The sequence below is a fragment of the Homo sapiens genome, chromosome 5 (genome assembly GCF_000001405.40).
Source record: "Homo sapiens chromosome 5, GRCh38.p14 Primary Assembly".
Lineage (NCBI taxonomy): Eukaryota > Metazoa > Chordata > Mammalia > Primates > Hominidae > Homo > Homo sapiens.
Window position 1 is genome coordinate 73,909,302 of NC_000005.10, and position 25,487 is coordinate 73,934,788.

The window sequence follows — 25,487 nt, forward strand, 5'->3', positions numbered from 1 at the left end:
GAAGTGAATTCGGGCCTGCGTTTTGTGTTTCGAGGTAGTTCCAACCGAAAGGGTAAACAATAACCATGGAACCTTGTGTTCAGTGATTTTTCCTCTGTCTGCTCTGACAGGCCGCCTTGACCATTCAGGACAGCCACATTGAGATCCACAGGCTGGTTCTCCAGCAGCAGGAGGGCCTGTCTCTCGGCCACTCTATCCTCCGAGGCGGCCCCTTGCAGGACCAGAAGTCTCGCGACGCGGACAGGCAGCATGAGGAGCTGGCCAATGTGCACCAGCTTCAGCACCAGCTCCAGCAGGAGCAGCGGCGCTGGCTGCGCAGGTGTGAGCAGCAGCAGCGGGCGCAGGCGACCAGGGAGAGCTGGCTGCAGGAGCGGGAGCGGGAGTGCCAGTCGCAGGAGGAGCTGCTGCTGCGGAGCCGGGGCGAGCTGGACCTCCAGCTCCAGGAGTACCAGCACAGCCTGGAGCGGCTGAGGGAGGGCCAGCGCCTGGTGGAGAGGGAGCAGGCGAGGATGCGGGCCCAGCAGAGCCTGCTGGGCCACTGGAAGCACGGCCGGCAGAGGAGCCTGCCCGCGGTGCTCCTTCCGGGTGGCCCCGAGGTATGGACCTTCTGCGGTGCTGTGAGGCAGCCTCTCAAAGACAGGGGTGGGCCTGGGGGCTCCTAGGACACTAACCAAACATCTGTCATTTTGGATTTGTGTAAGAAGACCTCATGAGGATTTTTCAATTTGTAGGTAGCCAAAGCTGGAAGCTTTCAGAGATAACGCATATCCATTTTGACTTAAAATATGGACAGTGCGGGCCAGGCGCGGTGGCTCATGCCTGTAATCCCAGAACTTTGGGAGGCCGAGGCGGGAAGATCACCTGAGGTTGGGAGTTCGAGACCAGCCTGGCCAACATGGTGAAACCCCGTGTCTACTAAAAATACAAAAATTAGCTGGGCTTGGTGGCGGGCCTCTGTAATCCCAGCTACTCAGGAGGCTGAGGCAGGAGAATCACTTGAACCCATGAGGCGGAGGTTGCAGTGAGCCGAGATCACGCCATTGCACTCCAGCCTGGGTGACAAAAGTAAAACACCATCTCAAAAAAAAAAAAAAAAAAAAAAAAAGGACAATGTGAGGGCCCAAGTCCTATGGGATCACTGCACTCTGCCTGAGATGCCCTTACCCTAAGGAACAAACACAGAATCAAGTTGTCCTAGAAAGGCCAGGGTGGGTTTGTCCTGGAGGCACACTCACTGCGAGCGTGCTCTTTTTCCAGTATTTGAAGGACTCTCTTTATATGATCTGTCTTAAGAGTTCTATTAGATGTAGCTTTTAGAAGATCAATTAACTATGAATATATACTATAGGCACTGAATTTAGCAAGTATAGTACTATTCTGTTATGCTGAGCTTCTTCTCTCTTTGTAAATTTGATATAGTAAATTCAAAATCCATTTCACTAATAAGAGTTATTTATTTGTGTCTTTTCTAATCATGCTTGAGAATCCTATTCGTCCCAGAAATTTATTTTCCTGTGTTATGTGCATGTATGTTTTTTTACTGATAGTGCCTAAAGTTGTAGAAGTTGATAAGCTTACAAGATCTCTGTTGCAATCTGTTTTTCCTTTTAAGTTGGCTAAATTATGTTTATTGCAAACTCCTCATGTATATATGGATATGTTTTCAACTTTTTTATTTAGCAAAAGTAAAAACTGCTGCTTTCTCTGATTAAAATAAAGTGGAAACACTTTAATGTCATAGAGTGCCACTTTTTTTGTTGTTGTTGTTAAAGATATGCCATGCATAGCAAATTGAAGTTTTTGGTACTAGCTCATTAAAAGAGTATGGGAGAGGGGAGGGAGAAAAGAAGTGGTAATCTTGACCTCACTTTTACTGAAATCTTGATTCCTAAGATTCTCTCAGGAATAAATACTTTATGAAACTTGTATAAGTTAGAAAAATTATTGTACTTTTCCTCTGTTTCTTTACACAGGTAATGGAACTTAATCGATCTGAGAGTTTATGTCATGAAAACTCATTCTTCATCAATGAAGCTTTAGTACAAATGTCATTTAACACTTTCAACAAACTGAATCCATCAGTTATCCATCAGGATGCCACTTACCCTACAACTCAATCTCATTCTGACTTGGTGAGGACTAGTGAACATCAAGTAGACCTCAAGGTGGACCCTTCTCAGCCTTCGAATGTCAGTCACAAACTGTGGACAGCCGCTGGTTCCGGCCATCAGATACTTCCTTTCCATGAAAGCAGCAAGGATTCTTGTAAAAATGGTAATTAACACTTTAAACATCATCTGTATAGTTTGAACAAGAAGTTGTCCCTCTGAATGGTTGGCTCTTGTGTAGAGTGAATCAAAGTCCTCCCTAGCATGGGAATAAATCGGTACTGATGAGCTGGAGTTTGTGGCATTCACTTTTCTTTGGGGAAGTCTGGGGACAGCCTTTGCTTGTAAGTTACCTAGACAAGTGAGACCATGGTCATAGGGCTTAGAGAATGCTCACAACATGTGAGAACCAGACAGGATTTTTAGATGTGTGGGTTAAAATAATAATGTCCTCTTAAAAGTAAAGCAACTTGATATTTACTCCCCACTATTGTGGACCCCACTACATCCTGAAACACCTATGTTGACACTCAGAAATAATAACAGATACCAACAGGGTTGGTAGTGGGACTTTATCAGGGCAATTTCCTGTAACGTTAGTGAAATCTTCTGTACTGCTATTAAACACCCAAAATGAAACTGTTAACATCATTTGTCATTGTAAAAAAAAAAAAAAGTGTTGTCTCTCCATAAGTACCTCATAATAACACAATTTGCTAATCCCATTAAAGCATTTGCCAAGTATAAATGAAAGGCAGCTCGTGTTACCAGCTCCACATGAATCCGAATGATTTAAATCTATGTCTATTATAAATTGTTTTCTGGGGGATATGAGGTAGGGAATGAGAAGAACTTGAAACCTCTCTACCGAAAAACAGATGGCATGCAATAGAATAAACAAATGGCTGGCCACATGGATGTGAAATAAATCACCCACAGCAAAATGTTTCAGAAACATAAAACAAGCAGTAGTATAGAAGTCTTCAGAACTGGATACAGATTTGTTTCTATGCTTAATATATATTCTTAGTTTGTCAGTTGGAGGATAATTTTTCAGCAACAAAAAGGTTTGAAGGTATTTGGCTTCTCCCAATTCAAGAGTAATAATTCTGATACTGCTTATAAGTTGATTTATTACTGATCCAAAAGATGTTGATTCTTAATAGTGGCTAATTCTTTACATTACTTAAGTCACCGTGGTAACATTCTTCTTTCTTGTCAGCATATAGGAGAGAATGAAATAGTTTTTTAAAGTATTATTTCAGATATTCTTTAGGTAAAGAAAAAATATGATGGAATCGTTCAGATTAAATAAAAGGTCAAGCCAAATTTTGAAAAATGTAACTTCTTTAATATATTATCTTACAACTTTACTACAATAGAGAGCAGATTGCAGAATTCTTTTTCTAAGCACATGTTGCTTTGCTGTGTTGGTTCATTAATCTGCTATTTACAGTGCTTCATGTGGTTTTGTCAGCATGGTTTTACATACTGGCTTTGGTATAATTCCGAAACTCAGTTTGAGTTAAACCACATTCAGCTTTTGTTTAAAAGAAGCATGTCTCTTACTTTTTGTGTATCTCCCATCTTTTTCTATTGACTTGTGCTTCAAAGTAAAACTTTTTAAACCATTTGGCAGCATACTTGCAGTAGATAGAAAATGTACTAAGGAAATAAACAGTGATTATATACAAAACCAGTCTATCCACATGTAAGGAATTAGAGCCAAAGGAAATGCTGAGAAATGTACTTACGCTTAAGAAATTGTATGTCCAGAGTAGGCCAAGGACGCTCAGGACATTGACAGGAGAGAAGAAAGTCAACTGTGGCTTAAATCTCTCAGGAACATCCTGGTTTATATAAGTAGGGATTACATCAGAAATGCTGTGTGTACTGTTCACCACTGGAGTTTTGCAGCTAGTCAAAAAACCTTATTTATGTTTACTTCATGATAAGCAATTTCTACAGGGGAGAAAAGAAAGTCAGAGAATAGGCGGTGATAAGAAAGTGGATTGAGAATAGGATATATACACTTAAAAGAGTGGTCAAGGCTAGATAAAATTATTCAAACCCTCCAGAGCTTTCACAGCTTTTATCATTGACAGTAACACAACATCAGCCACTGGTGATGGCCTTAGCTAGGCTCCGTGGGCGCTTGCCACACATGATCTTGGGGGACAGTGACTGCGGGGGGCCGGACAGGAAGAAGCAGGCTCCAGGGTGTGCTGGGTGGTAACAGCTGATGTGCCAGAACCAAGGACCAGGCAGTGTTGTTGTCCCCTCTTCTGTGTTTTGCTGCTGAATCTGGGTGAGTGGCCATCAGTGACCACTACTGAGGATCTCCATAGTTCACTGTAATCTGGCTAACATAATTTGCCTATAATGTTGTGGGCTGGTATTTTAGCTAAATGTGTACTTAACCATGATTTCATTCAGGCTTCAGTCACTCTTTCATTGTTAGGCCATAACGTCTGCCGTTCCAGGTAACATCTTAAAGAATGGTTTGCCCTTTTGCCTAGTCTGGTACTGTGGATAGATGATCAGCTCAGATCAGTGAAAATGTGAATTTCTGGAACAGTAAGGCTGATGGGAAAAATTGTATATAAAAACAATTCTCCAATGTGTTTAGATACCACCTAGATAGGAATTTCTGTTGGTTTTTTCAGTACAGCCTCAGCAGACATTTTTGTGCTCTAATTGTGATTGGTTTCTGAATTGCTCTACCCCCACCCCTGCCACCAGTAATTATATGACACATCAAATTTCAGGCACTGTGCTAAGGTTTTACATGGGGAAACTCATTTAATACTCACAACAACCCACTGAGATGGTTCTGTCCTTTGAGAGGGGCAGCTGGGATACAGAAAGGTCAAGTAACTTGTCCAGATCACATAGCTAGTAAATTGAACCTGGGAATTGAACCTGGGAAGATTGGCTTTAGAGCCCATGCTGTCAATCATTACACTATACATTCTGAATTGCTTTTTTTTTTTTTTTTTTTTTTTGAGAAGGAGTCTCTCTTTGTCGCCCAGGCTGGAGTGCAGTGGTAATATCTTGGCTCACTGCAACCTCCACCTCCCGAGTTCAGGTGATTCTCCTGCCTCAGCCTCCTGAGTAGCTGGGATTACAGGTGCCCGCCATCACACCTGGCTGATTTTTGTATTTTCAGTAGAGACGGAGTTTCGCCAAGTTGTCCAGGCTGGTCTCGAACTCCTGACCTCAAGTAATCCACTGGCCTTGGCCTCCCAAAGTGTTGGGATTACAGGCTTAAGGCACCACACCCGGGCTAAATTATTAATTTCTAGAAAGCTGTTTTGAGCTGTACTTTTTTTGAGATTGAGAGTCTCACTCTGTCGCCCAGGTTGGAGTTCAGTGGCGTGATTTTCAATCACTGCAACCTCCACCTCCTGGGCTCCATCCACCTCCTGGACTCACTGCAACCTCCCACTTCAGCCTCCTGAGTAGATGGGACTACAGACTTGCACTATGCCCAGCTAATTTTTGGCTTTTTTGTAGAGACGGGGTTTCCCCATATTGCCCAGGCGGGTCTTGAACTCCTGGACTGAAGCGATTGGCTGTTTCAGCCTCCCAAAGTGCTGGGATTATAGGCATGAGCCACAGTGCCCAGCCATGAGTTGTACTTTTTAAAGAAGTTGGTTTAGATATAGAACTAATCTAATCCTTTTGTAATGCCTAGTGGGATGTTCATGATTAAGGACCAGGTTTTTGTTTTTATTGGTTTTTTTTTCTCCCCTCCTTCCCTTTTTAATAGTAACATTTGGAAAATATTTCTAAATGTTTTGGATTACTGTGGCCAACTCTTGCATGGGGCCTGAACATTTTCAGTATCATAAATACTCTTTAGCTTTACTTTTTTCTCATAAGGGATATTTTCTTAAAAATATTTTGTTTCTCCAATGTTGCCTAATAATAAACCCATGTTATCTGTAAATATTTTTTAAGATAGAACTTTAAAGAACTTTACTTTCCAGTTTTGGAAGTTATTTCATGAACAAAATTCTTGGATGTTCAAACATTAAATCCAAATTGATATTTTATTTGTAGTGGAAGAGATGGTTGGCTTAAGAACTTTTTCTGTACTCCTCTATGGGACACCAGCCAAGACTACAGAATATTTGAATTTCCTTAAACAATAGTCTCTGTGGGACAATTGCTATGTAATCGGCCCTATGAGATGCTCAACAGCATTACTCTGAAAGGCAAAAACAAAGAAACAACAATAAAAAAACCCAACATTTTATTCTTGTGGCTTTTTTTCTCCTAGCTTTAACATTTTAGAACTATATATTGAATGCATCTATATGTTATTTGCCTTTTTCATTAACAGAGGAAACATCTTATGGTATAAAAATCTGAAATCCTAATCTCCCTTTTCAGTTGTATTTTTCTGTATGCCTCAATATTTGCAGGTTTCCCAAAAGTTCTCTTCAGTTCAGTTAAAGCATTATGATTTTGTTATGCATAGGCTAAAATGTAAGTCAAGCCAAATTTTATGTTAATAATATAGATACTGGGAAAAAAGTAACTTGATTAAGTTTGAGTTCTCTTTCCTTTTACTACATATTAGAATTTGGTGCCAAGGAAACTATTTTCAAAATTCAAAGCATTGTATTTAGAATACCTCATCTTGATAATTTTTTTTTAAAAGACAGCTGTGTTAAACTTTGACAAGTTTTTTATGTAAGGGAAGAAAATAGAAAATTTCCAAATGAAAACCTATGCCATACTTAGTATTTAAATAAGTCTTAAGAAGTGAGAGGATGATAATTTCTCATGTTTTAAAATATTTCATAATTCAGAAATTGACACCTTACTTGTGTAATCTATATGGAAAGAAGCTTTGCCCAAAGAACTTTAGGCAATTTTCCTGGAAATTGAAACTGGTATTAGACACCATAAACTTCTATGATGTGAGTGTATTTGAAGAGGGGGAATGTATTTGTTGACTAGGGCTGCCATAACAAAGTACCACAGGCTAGGGGGCTTAGACAACAGAAATTTATTTCTTCAGTTCTGGAGGCTAGAATTAGGGATCAAGGTGTTGGCAGCGTTGGTTTCTTCCGAGGCCTCTCTCCTTGACTTGCGGATGAGATGGCCACCTTCTTCCTGCGTCTTCACCTGGTCTTCCCCCTGTGCCTGTCTGTGCCCCAATCTCTCTTTATATCAGTGATATTGGATTAGGGCCCACCATAATGACCTCAATTAACTTTATTCTTTAAAGCTGTATCTACAAATACATTCTGAGCTACTGGGGGTTAGGACCTTAACATGTGAATTTTGGGGGGACACAGTTCAGCTCTTAACAGGGGACAAAATGATGATTTTTCTCCCTACCATAGTTTTAGGTGTCATGAAAGCCTTAATTTAATATTAAAAAGCCTGAATTTTATATATACCAAAGTTGAACTATAACAACATTGTTAGTTTTTTGACTTGGTAAGGGAAGTGAATTGAACTTTGTAAAGAAAATAATAATTACATAATAATAAAATTGTGATGAATATTTATATCTGTATATTGATAGATATTGAAGTCTGTTATCAAGCCTAGTTCAACACATAGAAATTAAGGCAGGAATATTGAATCCATTTCCTATTTAGTGAAACTAGAGCAGAAAATATTGAGTCTATAGGTTTATTTCCTACTTATAGTTTTATTTCCATGCCTAGGCCTTAACTAAGGGGCTTTGGGAATTGTGAGTGCTCTGATTGGGAGGGACATTACGTGCCTTTATTTGGGATTGATTAAATGAAAACAAAGCTGAAGGGCTGAAGACATTAATTACAATATCAAATTATTATTCAGAGATATATATAGGAGTCTGAGGAAATCATCTGGCAACTCTTTCTTCTAGAATCGTGACTATCACATTAGGTTATGTTTTAAAGGAAACTATAATATTGCTTGCTCTTGGTAATCTATATCATGACAAAAATATAAAGTACTGGGCTCAAGGGCTTAATTTTCATCTTTCTCATCGACAAGTGGAGATGATTGACTTTAGCCTTTTGCAGATTTTATACAAGGAAAAGGAAAGATGACATTCGCTTGTAGAGCCTGGTGAGCCAGGAGTGCTTACTGCCAACTTCCTGATTGCATATTTCTCTGGGGGCAGGTTGGCTATGTGAGCCAACTGGGCCAGGGCCATCCCGCCTCAGCACACAGAGCCTAAGACACAGCAGGAGAGCAAAACCAGCAGGTGGGTGGATTCAGAGGCAGCCAGCCAGCCATGCGGGTGTCTGTTCATCTCTACCCTGGGTTCCAGTTTAATTTGGACAAGCTGCTGAAGTGTGGGAGTCCACATGGTGTGAATGCTCCAGAGAGCATCAGAGGTTAGGCCTGGCCCTGGCCATCCTGAGCTTTAAAAATGAAAAAAATAATACATGCACACATATACACACACACACATGGTCTATGGGCTACATGTTTGACCTCTCTAGTATGATGTGGCTTTACTCTCAAAGAGACTAAGGCTTGGGTTTGGAGGGGAAATTTGTATACCAAACATAACTGAAGGATGAGGCTTGCTGCCTTCAGTCACAGTGACTGATGGGGTAATGATCCGGCTTCAGCAAAGGAAAGGAAGCATCACTCTCTCCATGTATCAGAATCTGGGGACTGTCTTCTCCCCATCCAGCTATGCAGATTTTGTTTTTAAGGTTTGCTTAAAATGTGGAATGTTCGGCTGAGTACCATTGATTTATGTTTGCCTAAGAAGAATGTGACCATCTGTCTTAGGGGGTGGCACGCTTTTCCTTAAAGGGTCCTATAGTAAATATTTTAGTTTTTGCAAGCCATCGGATCTTTGTTACAACTAGTCAACTCTGTCATTGTAGCTTGCAAAGCAGCCATAGACAATATGTAAATAATAAGTTTAGCTGTGTTCCAGTGAACTTTCTAAAAACAGGTGGCTGTAGTTTGCCTACCCCAGAGGCTGGTTTCCAAACTTTCTTTTCCTCCACTTAAGTGAGGAGTGACAATTACACTCCTCCTTGTTTGGAATGTTCACCTTTGGGTGAATTAATAGTGCAATATTATATGGCATTTCATGCCATTCAAAAGCAGATTTGAATTCATGATCTCATTTGCTCTTTATAATGATTTTGTGAAATGATGGTTACTGTCTCTGTAAAGAGACAACTTTTCTCTTTCGCTTTTTGTTCAGTCTCTGAAAACATAAATTCAGGAAGAGATAGCTGAATATACTAGATGGAGTTTAAGGCCAGAGGCTTAAAACTTGGAGAAACCCTTCTCCCCAACTCCAGCTCCCCAAATTCTGTGATGGTATTGAGGAGGGCCACCCTCTGACTGTGCAGCTAATGAGAAGTAAGATACATGGATAGGAATTTGTTGCTAGAATCATGCTTCCCTTAGCTGGCTATGCATCAGAGTTTGCTGTGGTGAACAAAAAAAAATACAGGTTCCTCTATTCAGAGATTGTGATTTGAATCAGGGCTTGGCTGGAGCCTGCAAACTTGTGTATCTAACATTCTTCTTAGTTGATTCTGAAGCAGCCAGCCTGACGCATGTCCCCGGATTGCTGGCCTGGGATACTGGACTTGATATAAGAGAACTTTGCTTCAAACCCTGGACTCTGGCTCCTACTGCCGTGGGATCCCTAAGTCTTAGTTTCCCCATCTGTACAAATGGGAAGGAAGTGTTAACATAATTATTTTAAAAAATGCCTGGCCTGTCCCGGGGATCCAGTGAGCATCAGCTTCCTTCCTACATTCTGGAAATAATGTATTCCGATTGTGATTCAGGGGTCGCCTGCCAACAAAGTGAAAGTGTTTCCTAAACGTTGTTAGAAAGCCAATAGTTTAAAATATAAAATAATTAGCTGTAAATTGGGAAATTTTTCACTCAGATTGGAAATACATTAGAATAAAAAGGGTAACTATCTTTCCATATCAATCTCAGAGGAGGTGTTTGTCAGTGGATCACCAGAATTGTTTTGGGGATGAAGCTCTGATAGCACAGCGTTTTGCTTCTTCCTTTTGTTCCTCTGTCTACTGGAACAAGTTACGTAAGTCAACCACATTTTTAGAACCAGATATAAACACCCAAATGTCAGATACTCTGACAACATGACTGAACATCACCTCCATTTGGGATGGAAAGCTTCCTATCTACAGACCATCCAACACTTGTTGGTTACATTATGCAAATATACCCCCAGGAAGACTTCTAATTGTACTTTGGTTTCTGGAGTGGGCTCTCCTACTAGAAAGAAAATGTCAAAAGCAGCCTACAGGAATATTCTAGTGTAAACTATTTGTCATTTTAAGTCTAAAGATTCTGTTCTAGTTTATCACCTTAATCTCTTTTTGAGTTTGGTTATCCTGAATCAATTTGTACTTGTTAGTTCTGGAGAAACTGATAAAAGTCATGGTTCAGCATCGCCAGAAAGCATCTCTTGTTAGCACTTATAATTTGAATTATATGGGGTAATAATTTATGTAATGTCTGTCCCACTAGAGAGGAAGCTTCATGTGGGTAGAGCATTACATATTTCTCTCTTGTTAACTGCTCTATCACCAGCAGCAAGTAGTGTTTGATATATGATGAAGATTTGATAAACATTTATGAAATGAATGGAGGAGTCCAGGTCCACACTCATTAGCAGAAATGAAAGCAACCATGAGCTGAAGCCACACAGTTGACTCTTTTACTGAGGCACTGAAAGAAGTTGAGGTATCAGAGAAATGGGGTGTGTGATGGTGGTTATCACAGGCAGGATAGATGAGTGTCTCCGGCTAGCTAACTGGATCAAGTGTTTGTTTTAAACTTTTTGTAATATGGTGCATGTTAGATAGCATTCTTAAAATGTTGGGGTAACTGTAAGATTGTTTGCCTTTAATATCTTACTGGATTCCTAGTAGTAGACTTAAAAAATTACAAACTTTTCTTCTGCCTCATTAGTATTGGAGTAAATTTATCAATGTATAGTACTATATGTATCAGTTTGGCATAGGTACTTTTTGTTCAGTTCTAGAGATCATCTTTTTTTTATTTTACTTTAAGTTCTTGGATACGTGTGCAGAACATGCAGGTTTGTTGCATAGGTATACATGTGCCATGGTAATTTGCTGTACCTATCAACCCGTCATCTAGGTTTTTTTTTTTTTTTTTTTTTTGAGACGGAGTCTCACTCTTTCGCCCAAGCTGGACTGCAGTGGCGCTATCCCGGCTCACTGCAAGCTCCGCCTCTTGGGTTCATGCCATTCTCCTGCCTCAGCCGTCATCTAGGTTTTAAGCCCCTCATGCATCAGGTATTTGCCCTAATGGAGAGCATCTCTTTACATGAGTTATTTTTCCGTTAGAATATTGTATACATATAGCCCCCATATGGCCATGCATAGGAGATGAGAACTTAAAAAGTTAAAATGTGTTTCCCATAAAATGCTTTATGGTACCCTGAGCTTTAGAAATGAATCCAGTGCTGTCGCTGTAGGAAGATGACACATTTACGATTTAATTGTTATATCAATAACAATTAGTCAGCTTATCTGTTCACTGGGGTATTTCTTTTTTAACCATAAAGTAGCTTGAATACCATGACATCAAGCATGGGTGGCCAGTTCAACATCAATGAAACACTTTCTTAAACTCTTTTTTTCTTCTGCTAAATCCTACTTAACAGTTCAGTGCATCTCCCCAGGCAAAAACAATTAGTATTTGTTTAGTTAAATATGCTCCTAGAATGTGAACCAATTTCCCTGGCATGGCCTTCTAGGTATCAGCCTTAAAATGTTGCCTGAAACATCAAATATTTATTATAGCAAACTTAAAATGAAGTGTGGTTGAATCTTAAGAAATAGATCCCTTTGCTTTACCCCATACTGACTGAAACATACTTGTGTTCTTAGTGGGTCACTTTTCAGACACAGCTAAGGAGGAAGAGTTGTTCTGCTCAGACCTTTGACCAGATGATAAATAAGCCTGGGCCTTAGTTTTGATCTGTGGAGATGTTAATTTGCCACGATAAATCACTGTTGAGTTTCCTTGAATAAGGGGCCACAGTATCCATTCTCTTTCTGGATAAGATATTAATTCAGTTTAATTTGAAATGTTAATGCTTGGTTTGAAGATTTACCTAAGGAAAAATGTAGGCTTCCAAAGGGTGTAGTTATGCAGGATAGGTTTCTGAGCCTTTTGCTGAACAATTTCATAGTAAGGCTGTTCAAATTTAATTATTTTCACAGTGACTCTTTTCCATACTCTTTTTGTACAAGTTTTATTACACTATGGCTTTTTCTTTCTAAAACATAACATGGTGAATGTTTGTATTAAATACAGAATATTTGGATCATCCACTAGAAATTCGGGAGACTCTGCTTCTCTGATGAATTGAGGCTGTTTTTAAGGAATGGTGCTGTAAGGCTTTGGAAGAACCGTTTACAAGCAAAACATTGGCAGAGTTTTAATTTTATTTAATGACCTGCTTCCTACCAGTGATCTCGGCACCCTGTGCAATGATTTGCAATCAATTAATCATACAGAATGAATGTTGTAACACTGCAATAAGGGCATTGCACTCTAAGAGTCTCATAAATCCACCAGAAACAAAAAAACAGGAATTGCATGCTCAAAGACTTCCTCATGCAAAACCCCAGATGAAAAGGTGATTTTATGTTCTGTTTTCTAAAGTGTCCTCAGAAGCCTTAAGACTTTCTTGTGGATTCTGAGTTTTGAAGTTTCCATTTCTCAAAGACTGTTTGGCCCTTTACTGGGCTGTCATCATAGGATTCTATAAGTTTTCGCCTCATTCGGTTTAGTCACTGATCATTTAGATGGGGAATTCTTGATTCTGAATTACCAAGAGAAGCCCATGGCTTTGTGTTTTCCTCTGAATTTAGGGCAGTCACTTTCAACTGCAAGAGGCCATATTTTGGGGAGCCTTTGTAGAAATGATTCAGAAAGGAGACATGTTTCCATCCTGGGAATACACTGACATTTGCTAGAGGCAGATGGCAGAAGATAGGATAGCGTGACATCAGAAGTCAAGGAGCCTTCACATACTTGGCTTTGCCGAAAGCTTCTGGAATCTGCGTGTTCAGGATCTTAAGCTTGTGTGCTTGTCATTTCAGATGTGCCCTTGCAGTTAACTGTTTAACTATGATGGATTTTTTTTTCTAATTTTAGCATAGTAAATATAGAGCTATTAAACATTCTTAAAATTATATAAGCCTAAACCCTTGGATGTGTGTATATTGTGTTGTCTTTATTCATTTTCATATGGTTCTGTTTTTGGAATGTTCTTATAACAAGAACATGGAAGTTTAATATATATTCCATCTGACTAAAACTGAACCCTCTTTAAAGAAACTAAAGGTTTTCAAAGCTGTTTTACTTCCAATGAGTAGTTTAAACTTCTAGTTCATGATGGATTTATTCCTATCAAAAAGTTGTACTATTTTTGATTACTTGTTAATGTATCCAGATTGGCATGTTAGACACAAGTAGAGCACATCCTGTATTTTTAGATGCTTGATGCTTCTGTTCAGCATAAGCCCTGAAAAATACCAAGTTTTGCAAATGCAAAGTACTTTTCATTGGCATGGAAATTGGAGGGAAAAAACACAATGAATATTTTGGCCAAAATGTGATGGTCTGTTAGTCAGCATCTGGTAATGCGGCCATATTTTGCATTCAGGCTCCAGTATGACAAAGTGCAGTTGTACGTTGACATCTCCCCCGGGACTGTGGACTGGAACCACATCTACTTTGAAAGGTAATACTGCAAGGGGGGTGCTTAGCCTTCTTTTAGGGTACTCCACTCAACTACCTACATAATTTGGTTTTTAAAATGTTTTGGTTTATGCTAAACAAGCAGTCTGAGATAAAGCATGGTAAAAAAAAATCAAATACTAAATTTGTCTTTATGAGCTCCCTTTCTCTGATGAGCTGGCTATGAGTCCGTTACCTTCATGAATATGGAGCAAAAAGCCTAAATCTGAACTCTGTCGGCTGGAAGCGAACAAAGTACTGGGAAAAATTACATCAAAGTATGCTACTGGTAGAAGTTATCGTTGGTCTTGGCAAGACTACAGAGGGTTTTTTTCAAATGCTGCTGCCCAGTAAATTAAAATATTTTCTCTTTGTATTTGTCAGGTAAGAGATACAGATATATAGGTAAGATGAATATATTTGTCAGGTTCAATCTCTTGCCTACTATGATAGCCAGTCCCTTCACCCCCTCTACCATAGGATAGACACACAATTGAATTCTTCTTTGTCTAAAACAAGGTGGGCTTAAGGTAAAACATTGATCTTCTCAAACAAACTTACAGGACTTCTGGTGGTGACTATTTTCAGTTTCTTTAGAGAGACTGTTGGCTAACTTTGAGGATGTATGGTTCAGGAAAGTTTCAGAAAATATGTTGCATGAAGGGATAATTAAATGACTGAGTTAACACTAACCCAGAAAAAAACACTAGGGTTGAAACAAACCCTAGCTTCTTCTGGTCAAAAATGATGTTGCTTAGCAATAGACTCTAAAATGCTTTATCCAATTTATTTTATTTATTGAGACATAATTTACATAGAGTGAAATGCTTAGCAATATCATTTTTGACCAGAATGACCAAGAACTGAATCAGACCAGACATGTTCCTGTGAGGAACTGCCATTCAGGATGAAAAAATAATGAATCCAACCCCCATTGCCTGCAGCCAAGTTTCGGTAAATGTTGACTGAAAACACACTTTTCCAATGTAATGAGCCTTATGTACATTTATTGATACTTCACTATTAAGTGAGGGACCTGAGTGAAGAAAAGAATGGATGAACACATCAAGTGCACTTTATTTATACTGAACAATGGAGATGACAGGCTGGCATAGTGATTAAGATGGAAGGCTTGGGAATTATGCCTAGGTTCAGATTCCAGCTCAGTCATTTATTATCTATGAAATTTTAAGCAGGTGTTTAAACTTACTTGGTGTCTCAGTTTCCTCATCTCTACAGTTGGATTTCTGATAGTATCTACTTTGGAGGTGGTATGATGATTACATAAAACAATGTGTGTACAACTCTTAGACCTTTGTGAGCACTTAATAAACACTACTGTTATCACTGTTACTATTATATCTTGTGGTGAGAAAGGAGTACATGATTAGGAAGTGCATTTGGTGCATTCGAGCCACTGGGCTGCTTCTAAAGTGGTTGCTCTGGGGACCAGAGAGACTTGTTATGCCTCATTTGGGTATCACATGAATCAGCACACCTCAAAAATTATTCCACAGTTTGGATGTTAGTATTAGGTATTATATAAGAATTTCCCATAATCAAATAATATTGAGAAATGCTGATTTTTGGGAAGGCACAACTTTTCCCAAACTTCTACTGTGCTCCTGTGCACTGTGAATCTGCAGAATTGGCCCTTCCCAAACCCTTTCAACCACAGCATCCTCCTTTGGAGGCCAGCATCTTGCAAGACTACTTATTCCTTGAAATACACTGTGGAAAAAACACTGATGTCAGGGGATATTGAAATAAACTCACTGCATGCGGCATACCCTTCAAAGACATTTTTCCTCCCTTTGGAACAGTTGAAATTCAAATGACATATCCTAGCATGATTTGCCACATGGGTTGTGTTTTGAAACCCAAATCTAACACAACAAATTTCAGATAGAGCTTTGTTTAGCCCCCAGGCCAGTTTTTGGTCCCGTGGATAAGGGTTGGTATCCAGACCTCTTAGAGCTTTTCTGCATCAGCTTTCCAGGGCTTATTCAAACCCTCCATGTGCTGGAAGTCCCTCACCCTTTATGAGGCACAGGAGGCGATACGCTTGCATCTCGATCTCTCAGCCTCGGCTCATGCTGTTCTCTCCTTTCTCATCCTGTGTTCCAGCCATAGGAATTCTGTTCATTGTGTGGAAGGCTACGCACCCCCACATCCCCAACCTTTTGTACATGTGTTTCCTCTATCGAGAATATTCTCTCCTCCACCTTTTACTCTCAACCTGATGACCCCATACTTAATCTTTCAGGACTTGGCTCCAGGGCCACGTGCTTCCACAGTATTTTCTCACTTGTTTGCTTTATGCAGTTTATTTATTGAGACATAATTTACATAGGGGGAAATGCTCAGATACTGTCTACTGTCCAGTCAGTTTTGTGGGAAGAATATCAAGGCACAGAGCACTCTGTCACCCTAGAAAGTTCCCATATGCCCCTTTCCAGTCAACCCCTCCCCTTCAAAGCAGCGACTCCTCTGCAATCCATCACCATGGGTGAATTTCGCTGATTCTAGAATGGAATGGAATGGAACACTTTGTGCCTTTTGGGGCCTAGCTTTTTTCACTCAGCATATTATTTTTGAGAGGCAACCATGTTGTTGCATGAGCCCATAGTTGGTTCCCTTGTATTATGTTTCATTGATGAATATTCCAAAGTTTACTTATCCCTTCCTTGTTGATGGACATCTGGCTTATTTCTAATTTTTGGCCAGTCTGAATAAAGCTGCTATAAACATTCTTGTACAGGATTTTGTGAATTATGTTTATATTTCTCTTGGATTAATACTTAGGAGAATTGCTGCTAGGATAGGTGTCTGTTTAACTTTCAAGAAACTGTGCAACAGCTTTATACTGTGAAATAGTGATTGTCCTGACTACAAACCTCCATGGTGCTGAGACCAGGTTTTGTTCAACGTGATTTTCCTGGTGTCCAGCCCAGGGCAGGGCACATGCTAGACATTCAGTGTTTATTGAAGAATGAATGAATAAGAAGTTCAAATCAGTTTTCATTCTGACATCTCTACTACTAACTGAGAAAAAATGAATGCTCTGTCCATCAAGGAGATGGAAATTTTATTGGCTAAATGTGGGCTGATTATAGGCAGGCAAAAACAAGAGAGACATAGCTTCCTTCTTACTGTGCTCTTGGACTTGCCTCTCTCGTTTCAGGGTGGCAGCATGTGCAGGTAAAATCAGGTGTGCAAGTTGACACAGGCCATAGAAGGGTCCTGATCACCAGTATAGCTGAGCTCACCTCCTGCAGTTAAATCTCCCAACACTCCCATTCAAGACCCTCCCAAACCTCCTTTTTCATCCCCCCCTACCCTTTGGTTCACCTGCACAAATACATGTTTCAGCCAAACTTGACAACTCTCCCTACTTTGTGACATCTTGCATTCTCTCCCCTTTGCAATGGCCACAGACTCCACCCAGAAGGCCTGCCACATGCAGCCACAGCCATCTCTTTCTGTGGACACCCTGGGCAGCTTTCAAGGCTCAGTTCATGTGCTTTCTCCTCTCTGAAGTGTTCCTTGGCCACCACATCTGGAAGCTTGCTCTCTTTGGAGAGTCTTTGAGATGGTGTCCACCTGTGGACAATGTTCATTAGCCACTTAGCAGGATATTCTGCTTTTATTCTACTTGTCTGTGTATTTCTGCTCTGTGAGGTAATAGGCTTCTTAAGGGACACGTATGTAGTGGCCCTCAGCAGTCTGATAGGAGCTGAGGCTGCTGGCCACTAAGTAGCTGATGCTAGTCTTCATGATCCTTGCTCTTGATGGCCGATTCCATTAAAGAGGAGTTAATTACATGGTAATGCCATAGCTCCTTCTTAAGAGGAGGCTTTAGTACAAACTTGGGAATTCATGTCACCTGGTGGACAATTGAAAGGCAGCTGCTTTCTTGGCCAGGTGCAGTGGCTCATGCCTATAACCTCAACACTTTGGGAGGCTGATGTGGAAGGATTGCTTGAGCCCAGGAGTTCAAGACCAGCTTGGGCAACATAGCGAGAGCCCATCACTAAAAAAAAAAATAAAAATAAAAAATAAAAAACTTAGCCAGGCATGGCGGAGTGCACCTATAGTCTTAGCTACTTGGGGGGCTGAGGCAGGAGGATCACATGAGCCTGGGAGGCTGCAGTAAGCTGTGGTCATACCACTGCACTCCAGTTTTTGTGACAAAACAAGACTGTCTTAAAAAAACCTTTCTTTAGGATCCAGTGCTAGTCACAGGTCAGATGTTGTCAGGAAGCACAGATATCAAAAGCTAGATTATTGCTATATATCATTTGTATGCACTAAACAATTTAAAGTCATCTCCCATAGGGAAAGATGGCTCCAAGGAGTAAAGGAATAGAGCAATTTATCATGAGACTGGGTCTTAGTAGGTTGCCCAGGCTGGCCTGAGACTCCTGGGTTCAAGTGATCCCCCTGCCTCAGCCTCCTCAGTAGCTGGGACTATAGGCACGAGCCACAACATCTGGCTTTATGTTCTCTTTTGATTGCTGTTTTGGTACTTTAAGGGCCTAATTTTTCTTCTGTTTTACAAACTGCCTAATTTTATAATTGTATAATTCCTAAAAATGTTTAAGTTTAATTTCTAGAAATATGGAAGAGGGACCTTTATTCTTATAACAAACTTAAATGTAAAAAGAACACCTGAGGGTATTCATATCTGCACTAAACGAAACACAGTCTATATGTTAGGTTGTACTTTTAAGATTATAATCATTTACGAGTGACAAACGCAAGGCTGTGGCTGTGGTTCGGAAAGATGTTTCAGGGTTTGGTTTCTTAGCAGATGTCATTTCAAACAAATAAGAATTAAAAAAATAATGTTTTTCATTTTTAAAAGGAAAAAAGTTTTATGTTTTCCTGAATACTGTGAATATCAATTTCTCAAACCAGAATAGGTATGTAAGTTCTTTGACATCTCATAATTTTGTAGTTGATAAAGAGGAAAAAACAATCATTTGTAGACCTTAGAAGTACCCCCAGCACTTCGGGAGGCCGAGGCCAGCAGCTCATTTGAGGTCAGGCTTTCGAGAGCCTGACCAACATGGTAAAACCCCGTCTCTACTAAAAATACAAAAATTAGCCAGGCATGGTGGCAGGTGCCTTTAATCCCAGCTACGTGGGAGGCTGAGGCAGGAGAATGGCTTGAACCCGGGAGGTGGAGGTTGCAGTGAGCTGAGATCGCGCCACTGCACTCCAGCCTGGGTGACATAGTCCTACTCTTTCTCAAAAAACAACAACAGCAAAAAAATTAAAAATTAAAAAGAATTGGTTGCCAATTTTTAAGAAGTCTGGTAATAACATAATTATTAAGAAGCAGGTAGAACTAATTAGCTTGGGTGTGTTAGGTTTAATTGCTTGCCTTCTTCTCTGGCTCAAAGAAAAACATTGCATCTTGTATGCTTAAGAATTTTAACAGCTGTTTTTCCCTCTACTGAACCAGTAAGAAGTAAATGCAGCATTAAAATTCCTAGGTTGATTTCCTGCCTTACTCAGCTGGCAGAGAAATGAATTTGATTTTTCTTCTCTCAGCAAAATGAGAGGCATAACTCTTTTAGTGTGGGTAGGGTTGTGAGGCAGGCCGCTCCCCAGAAAGTTGGCTTTTTTGCCAAGGTACTTAGAAGTCCCTGGTCTCTAGAGCCTTAAGAGGAATTCAGAGTCATGAGAATACTACCCCATTCTTGAGGTTGATGACCTGTATGTCATTTAATTCAGCGCGCTCAGAAAAAGTTCTGACTTCTTTTTATTTATTTATTTATTTATTTTGAGACGGAGTCTCGCTCTGTCACCCATGCTGGAGTGTAGCGGTGTGATCTCAGCTCACTGCAAGATCCGCCTCCCAGGTTCATGCCATTCTCCTGCCTCAGCCTCCTGAGAAAAGTTCCTACTTCTTAACAGAGACTCCAAGATTGACTATCTTAATTTGTTTTGATTATTTACAAATTGACTTTGACATATTTCTTGTCTACCTGATTGTATTATGGACAATTTTAAACATATACAAAATTATAATATAATAGCCACTCATGTTCTGATCACTCAACTTCAGAAAATCAGGAACTTATGCCTAATTGTGTTTCTTCTAGACTCCTACCCCCAATACATACTGTATTATTTTGAAGCGGATCTTAAACAGTATCTATAAGTATTTATTCATCCATAAGCATTTCAGTATTTGTCTCTAAAAGATAAGGCTCTCTTTTTAAAATCATTATCACACCTAAGAAAAAGTTAATAATTCCATAATATCAACATATAGTCATATGTTTAGATTGCCAGTTGTTTCACAAATGTTATGTGTGTGTATACTTTTCACAGTTTATTTTTGACTCAGGATCCAAATAAAACCACACAATTGTGTGCAGTAGTTTAATACATTCTTTAATATGAAAGTTTTAATCGTGAATATTTTTAAAGTATAGAAATTATGTATTAGGCATGCAATTAACAAATGTTTCCATTTTGCCATATTTATTTCAGATCTTCGCCTTTTTGCTTTTTTAGAGAAATAAAATGTTACAGATATTGCTAAAGGCCCTTACCCATATCTTTTCCTTTGTTTTTCCTACTTAGGGTTAGCAAATATCTTAAAGTTGGTGGATATGATTTCCACAGTATGTGTCTGTGTTACCGCTACATTTTTATAATGCTACATATTTATATCTAAAAACAAAATATCATAATTTTTTGTTTTTAACGCTTATATAGCTATTTAAATATATATGTACTTTCTGCAACTTGGTTTTTTTCATATTCATACATGCGACACAAATTGCTCATTTTAAACTGCTATATTTCACTTTAATGAAAAAATTTTAGTATATTTATTACTAAGGAGCATTTACGGGATCTTACCAATTTTTTCCTATTAGAAGTGGAGAGCAGTAAACATCTTTTTATGCACATCTCCTTAGTCACATGAATGAGAGTTTATTTCAAGTATAACACCTAGAAGTGGTAAGGATGTCTTCACTGTTGCCAGCGATGATTGATTTTGCTCCAAAGTTGTTGTACAATATAACTATCAGCAGCAAGATATGAGAACTCCAGTTCCCCCAGATCTTACCCAGCTCATAGCATTGTTAGGCTTCTAAAATTTGCCCATATGCTGGGCATGAAATGGTAACTTGTTCTTTCATACTTTTCTGATTACCAATGAGATTTAATATCATTTCATTTTTATTGGCTGTTTAGGTTCCTCCTTCTGTGAATTTCCTGTTCATAAAAGTTTTTTCTGACTCACAGCAGATTTTGGAGTTTCAAATGTGTTCACTCTTAATTATATAGACAAGTTAATTCTTTTGGGATAGCTTTAATAGATTTTGTACTTTGAGTGGTTTTCAGAGAAATCATGTTTACAATGACACGTGAACACTTTAAGATTCGAAAAGGACATTCGTGAGAACTAAGCTCTTTCTAGGTGGAGAAAACTCAACTGCAAGTGCAGAAACTACTCAAAATGTGATTGACTATGCTGTTCCATCCTACTGAGACTAACCATCTGCCTTGTTTTTTATTTGCATACCTTCTCCCTTACTCCTTGCTATGTTTTCCTCCAAAGCTCCTATGCCTCTCTCAACTTATCAGTGTTATTTTACACATACTCAATATAGTCAACATCTATCCGCTTCATTTTCTTTCCTGGAAGTTTTGCCTTTAGGGTCCTCTGTACTTCTGTTCCAATATGGACTTGTTGCTCTCCAGGCCTGCTCTGCGTGGTCACCCAGGGCCATCCCTTCTCTCTCCTGTGTTGAAACCTCTGTGCCCTCAGTCTCATGCTTCCCCTTTATAGTATTTTCCTTTATTTGGTTGGACATATCTCCAGGCCCTCCCTAAGAAAAAGTCTGATTAAAGGAAATTTTTTCCAGATTAGCTGAAATGTCCTTCTCATTTTATTTTTGCTACTCTGACACTTGTTTTTTAAATAATTTGTCTGGGCTTAGAATTCTAGAATACAAAACTATTTTCCTCCAGCCTGTTGCCAAGGGTTTGACTCCACTTTCCAGGGTTGCTATTGAGAAGTCTGATGCCTTTCCGATTCTGGGTTCTTTGTTTGTAACCTGTTCTTACTTTCTGGATAATTTTAGAATTGTCTTTTTTGTCCCCTTATCTGAATTTTATCACATGTTTCAGTGAGGTCTTTCGTTAAAGTCATTTTTACTGGTTATTTATTAGACTCTTTCACTTTAGAGGTATATTTCCCTCAGTTCTGGGAGATATTCTATTTTTTAAAAAAATAATTGCTTCTCTTCAGTTTTTTCTTACTGTAACTGTTGCTGGTTGGAAATTGGACCTTTTATATCCTCTGATTTTTCTGTTTGTTTCATTTTCCATCCATTTCCATTTCTTCACATTTTTGTTCTATTTTCTGGGGGCTTTTTTGTTGTTCTTTAACTCCTACTATTCCATTGATTGTTTAAAAAATACTAGCTAGCATACTGAAAATTTTCAAGATATTTTTCCTGTTACAGCTGCTATTTTATGGAATCTTGTTTTGTGGCTGAAATGTCTCTTAAATAGTTCTTTGAAGATAGTAACTATGGTTTTTGGAAGTTTTCTTCAGCTTTCTGTGTTCCTGAGTTGTGTTGTTTTCTCCAAGTTAGATTTGTCTCTATTTTAGACTCCTGCTTTCCTATTTCATAGTTTACCTACCATTTTGGATTGGCGTGGGATTGAATCAAATAAGAGATGTATACAAAATATGTAGAACAATGCCTGGCATTTAGTAAGTACTCCATACATTATGTTGTTTTTGTAATTTTAAAGGTTTTCCACAGCCTGGCTGTTTACATTTATAGATCACCTTGAAATACCTTAAAAACAAACGTAAATGGTGAAGCTTTTGGTGTTAAAATGTAAAAGGTTAGTGTTCTAAGAAACTTGAAATATTTCAGTTCAAGCATATGTGTACCTTCATCTATTTTTATCAGTATTGAGAAGTGGCCCAAGTATTATGTTGGAAATAACAGAGAAACTACTAAAGTTTGTAAACTACTAAAGTTTGATATGTATCATGATAAATTAGAGAAAATTCTAGTTTTTCTCATAATAACAGTTCTGTCCCTCACTTCATTCTGACATACTTTTTCATGGCGTAAAGAGCTTGAAGTTACCGCGTTAGCCTAGGAATTGCTAATAATTTACAGCCTGTTTCATCTGTGACACAGCCTATAATTTGGGTAAATCTATGGGAGTGAATGTCATTCTGAGTGTCATGGTGGGAAAAAGTCGAGGGCTGACTGCTATCTAGTTCAAGTGCCCAAGTTTACAAATAAGGAAATGGAAGTTCCAGGTAAAGTTATTACCCAAGGTCAAATAATGCTAGTGGCCAACCAGGAGAAGCCCTGCAATGTAATCCTATCTTGACTACATTTTCAGTTTGTTTTTGCTAAGAAGACAAGGATTAGGCTAAATTTAATTTTAATATCCTTTCTAAACATAAGAATTCCAAATTAGTGATTTCTCATGACTCTAATTATATTAGAATTTTCAAATTAAGTATTCACTAATTCATTTATTCATTTGACAATATATGTTGAAACCTACTACTATTATGACCTGACATTTACTTCGGTAGTTTTGGACTAGTTATACTACTTTTATTTCCTATTTCTTTTTTTTTTTTTTTTTTTTTTTTTTGAGACAGAGTTTCGCTCTGTCGCCCAGGCTGGAGTGCAGTGGCGCGATCTCGGCTCACTGCAAGCTGCGCCTCCCGGGTTCACGCCATTCTCCTGCCTCAGCCTCCCGTGTAGCTGGGACTACAGGCGCGCGCCACCATGCCCGGCTAATTTTTTTTGTATTTTTAGTAGAGACGGGGTTTCACCGTGTTAGCCCGGATGGTCTCGATCTCCTGACCTCGTGATCCGCCCGTCTCGGCCTCCCAAAGTGCTGGGATTACAGGCGTGAGCCACCGTGCCCGGCCTATTTCCTATTTCTTACATATTACTTTTTAAGCTTTAAATGAACTCAAATTTAAAAGACTGGAGAATAGAAATCCAAATTCCAAGAAAACGTTAACTCATTTCAAAGGACAGATACACTGAAGCTATAAAATGAAATATTTCCTGAATTCTGTTTTACATAGGAGATGTTATTAGATTTTCTAGGCAAGAGCAAAGCCCATACCTGAATCTATCTTCTTTTTAATGGGTAGCTATAAGCTCAAATGAACCTTATCCATTTTATAGCGTAGGTTCACACAATTTGTGTATCTTTCTAAATAGATATAAATCCATACATGCCCTAGCCAATGACTTGTCATACAGTTGCATTAAAATTGATCTAAACATAGTTGGCATCCAGAAGAGGCTTCTAATTTATTGCCCCAGTGTTCCATTTATATCAGATATATAGAAGCTAGACTGTTGGAATAACAGAACCCTTTATAATATTGTAGTCCAAATATATGGAAGCCTATAGACTTTTAAAATGTTATAGAACTTTTCAAACCTATTCAAAAGTAGAGAGAATTGTTTAGTGAACCCCATCTGCCCACAGCCAGTCTTAATTCAGTGCCTTTTCTCTCTTCTCTTGCATTGGGCTCTCTTAAAGCAAATCCGGGACATCCTATCATTTCATCCAGAAATACTTCAATACCTTTGTCTAAAAGATAAGGACTCTTTTTTTTCTGTAACATAACCACAATATGATCATCACATCTAAAAAAAAATTAACAGTTGTTACTTAAAATCATGCTGTCAGTATTTGAATTTCTCTGGATTGTCTCATAAATGTTTTTTTTTTTTTCCCCCTCAGTTTGTTTGAATTGGAATCCAAATAATTTCATATATTGCATTTGGTTGGTGTGTCTCTTAAGTCTCTTTTAATCTAAAGTTCTGTTGCCGCCTTTAAAAAATTTTACAATTGTTAAAAAGTCTGGGTTGTGTTTTTTGTTTGTTTTTATTTTATTAAATGCCTCTTGAGTCATAAGAACTGTGTTGTTTATCTGTGGAAAAGACAGGTTCAATTATTTTCTGAAATATTCCCCACATTCTGGATTTTCCTGATTGCATTCCCATCGCGTCATTTGAAATATTCTTCTGCCCCTATATTTCCTGTAAATTGGTAACTGGGAATACAGATTTGATTAGATGCAGGCTTTATTTTTTGACATGAAAATAATATACATAGATGGTGTTGTAAATTGCATCTCATCACGTGGCACACAATGTCTGTTTCTCTTTTTGTGTTATTAAAATTGATCCTTGGGTCCAGATGTTGTCAGCTTGATCTGTTGTAAAGTTTCACATCAGCTTTTTTCCTAATGATTTTAATAGCCATTGATAATTATTGCCTGGGTGTAATATAGATGTTACATGCAGAATTTAGAAGCTTCTGAATTTGGAAAAGCTCACCTATTTCCACCTTCTCACTCCTGATTTGTTCTGGCATCTTGACCATTTATTGTCTCTTTCTTAATCTTTAATAGACTTCTAATTCTTGAATGAACTATTCTCCAGCTATGTTACATGGAACACAACGCTGTCGGGTACACTGTGAGAAAAGGCTCCCTGAGTTTGGGGGATGCTGCATACTGGTTTTTGCTCTGAGAGATTTATAATACACATGAGCCTATTAAAGTTCTGAGGGATCTGTTGATTA

General features: G+C 38.8%; 1 protein-coding gene across 5 annotated transcripts in view; it reads left to right on the forward strand.

The window, feature by feature from the left end:
• ARHGEF28 (Rho guanine nucleotide exchange factor 28) overlaps nt 1-25,487 on the forward strand; it is a 315,795-nt gene that overhangs the window by 283,106 nt on the left and 7,202 nt on the right. For 3 of the 5 annotated variants that reach the window (NM_001177693.2, NM_001388076.1, NM_001244364.2), the window contains 2 exons: nt 111-596; nt 1,974-2,274. In NM_001177693.2, coding sequence (NP_001171164.1) covers nt 111-596; nt 1,974-2,274 — 787 coding nt within the window. Of the gene's footprint in view, nt 1-110; nt 597-1,973; nt 2,403-13,785; nt 13,864-25,487 lie in introns of those variants that run through there. The other 2 variants (NM_001080479.3, NM_001388078.1) reach the window with 2 other exon arrangements.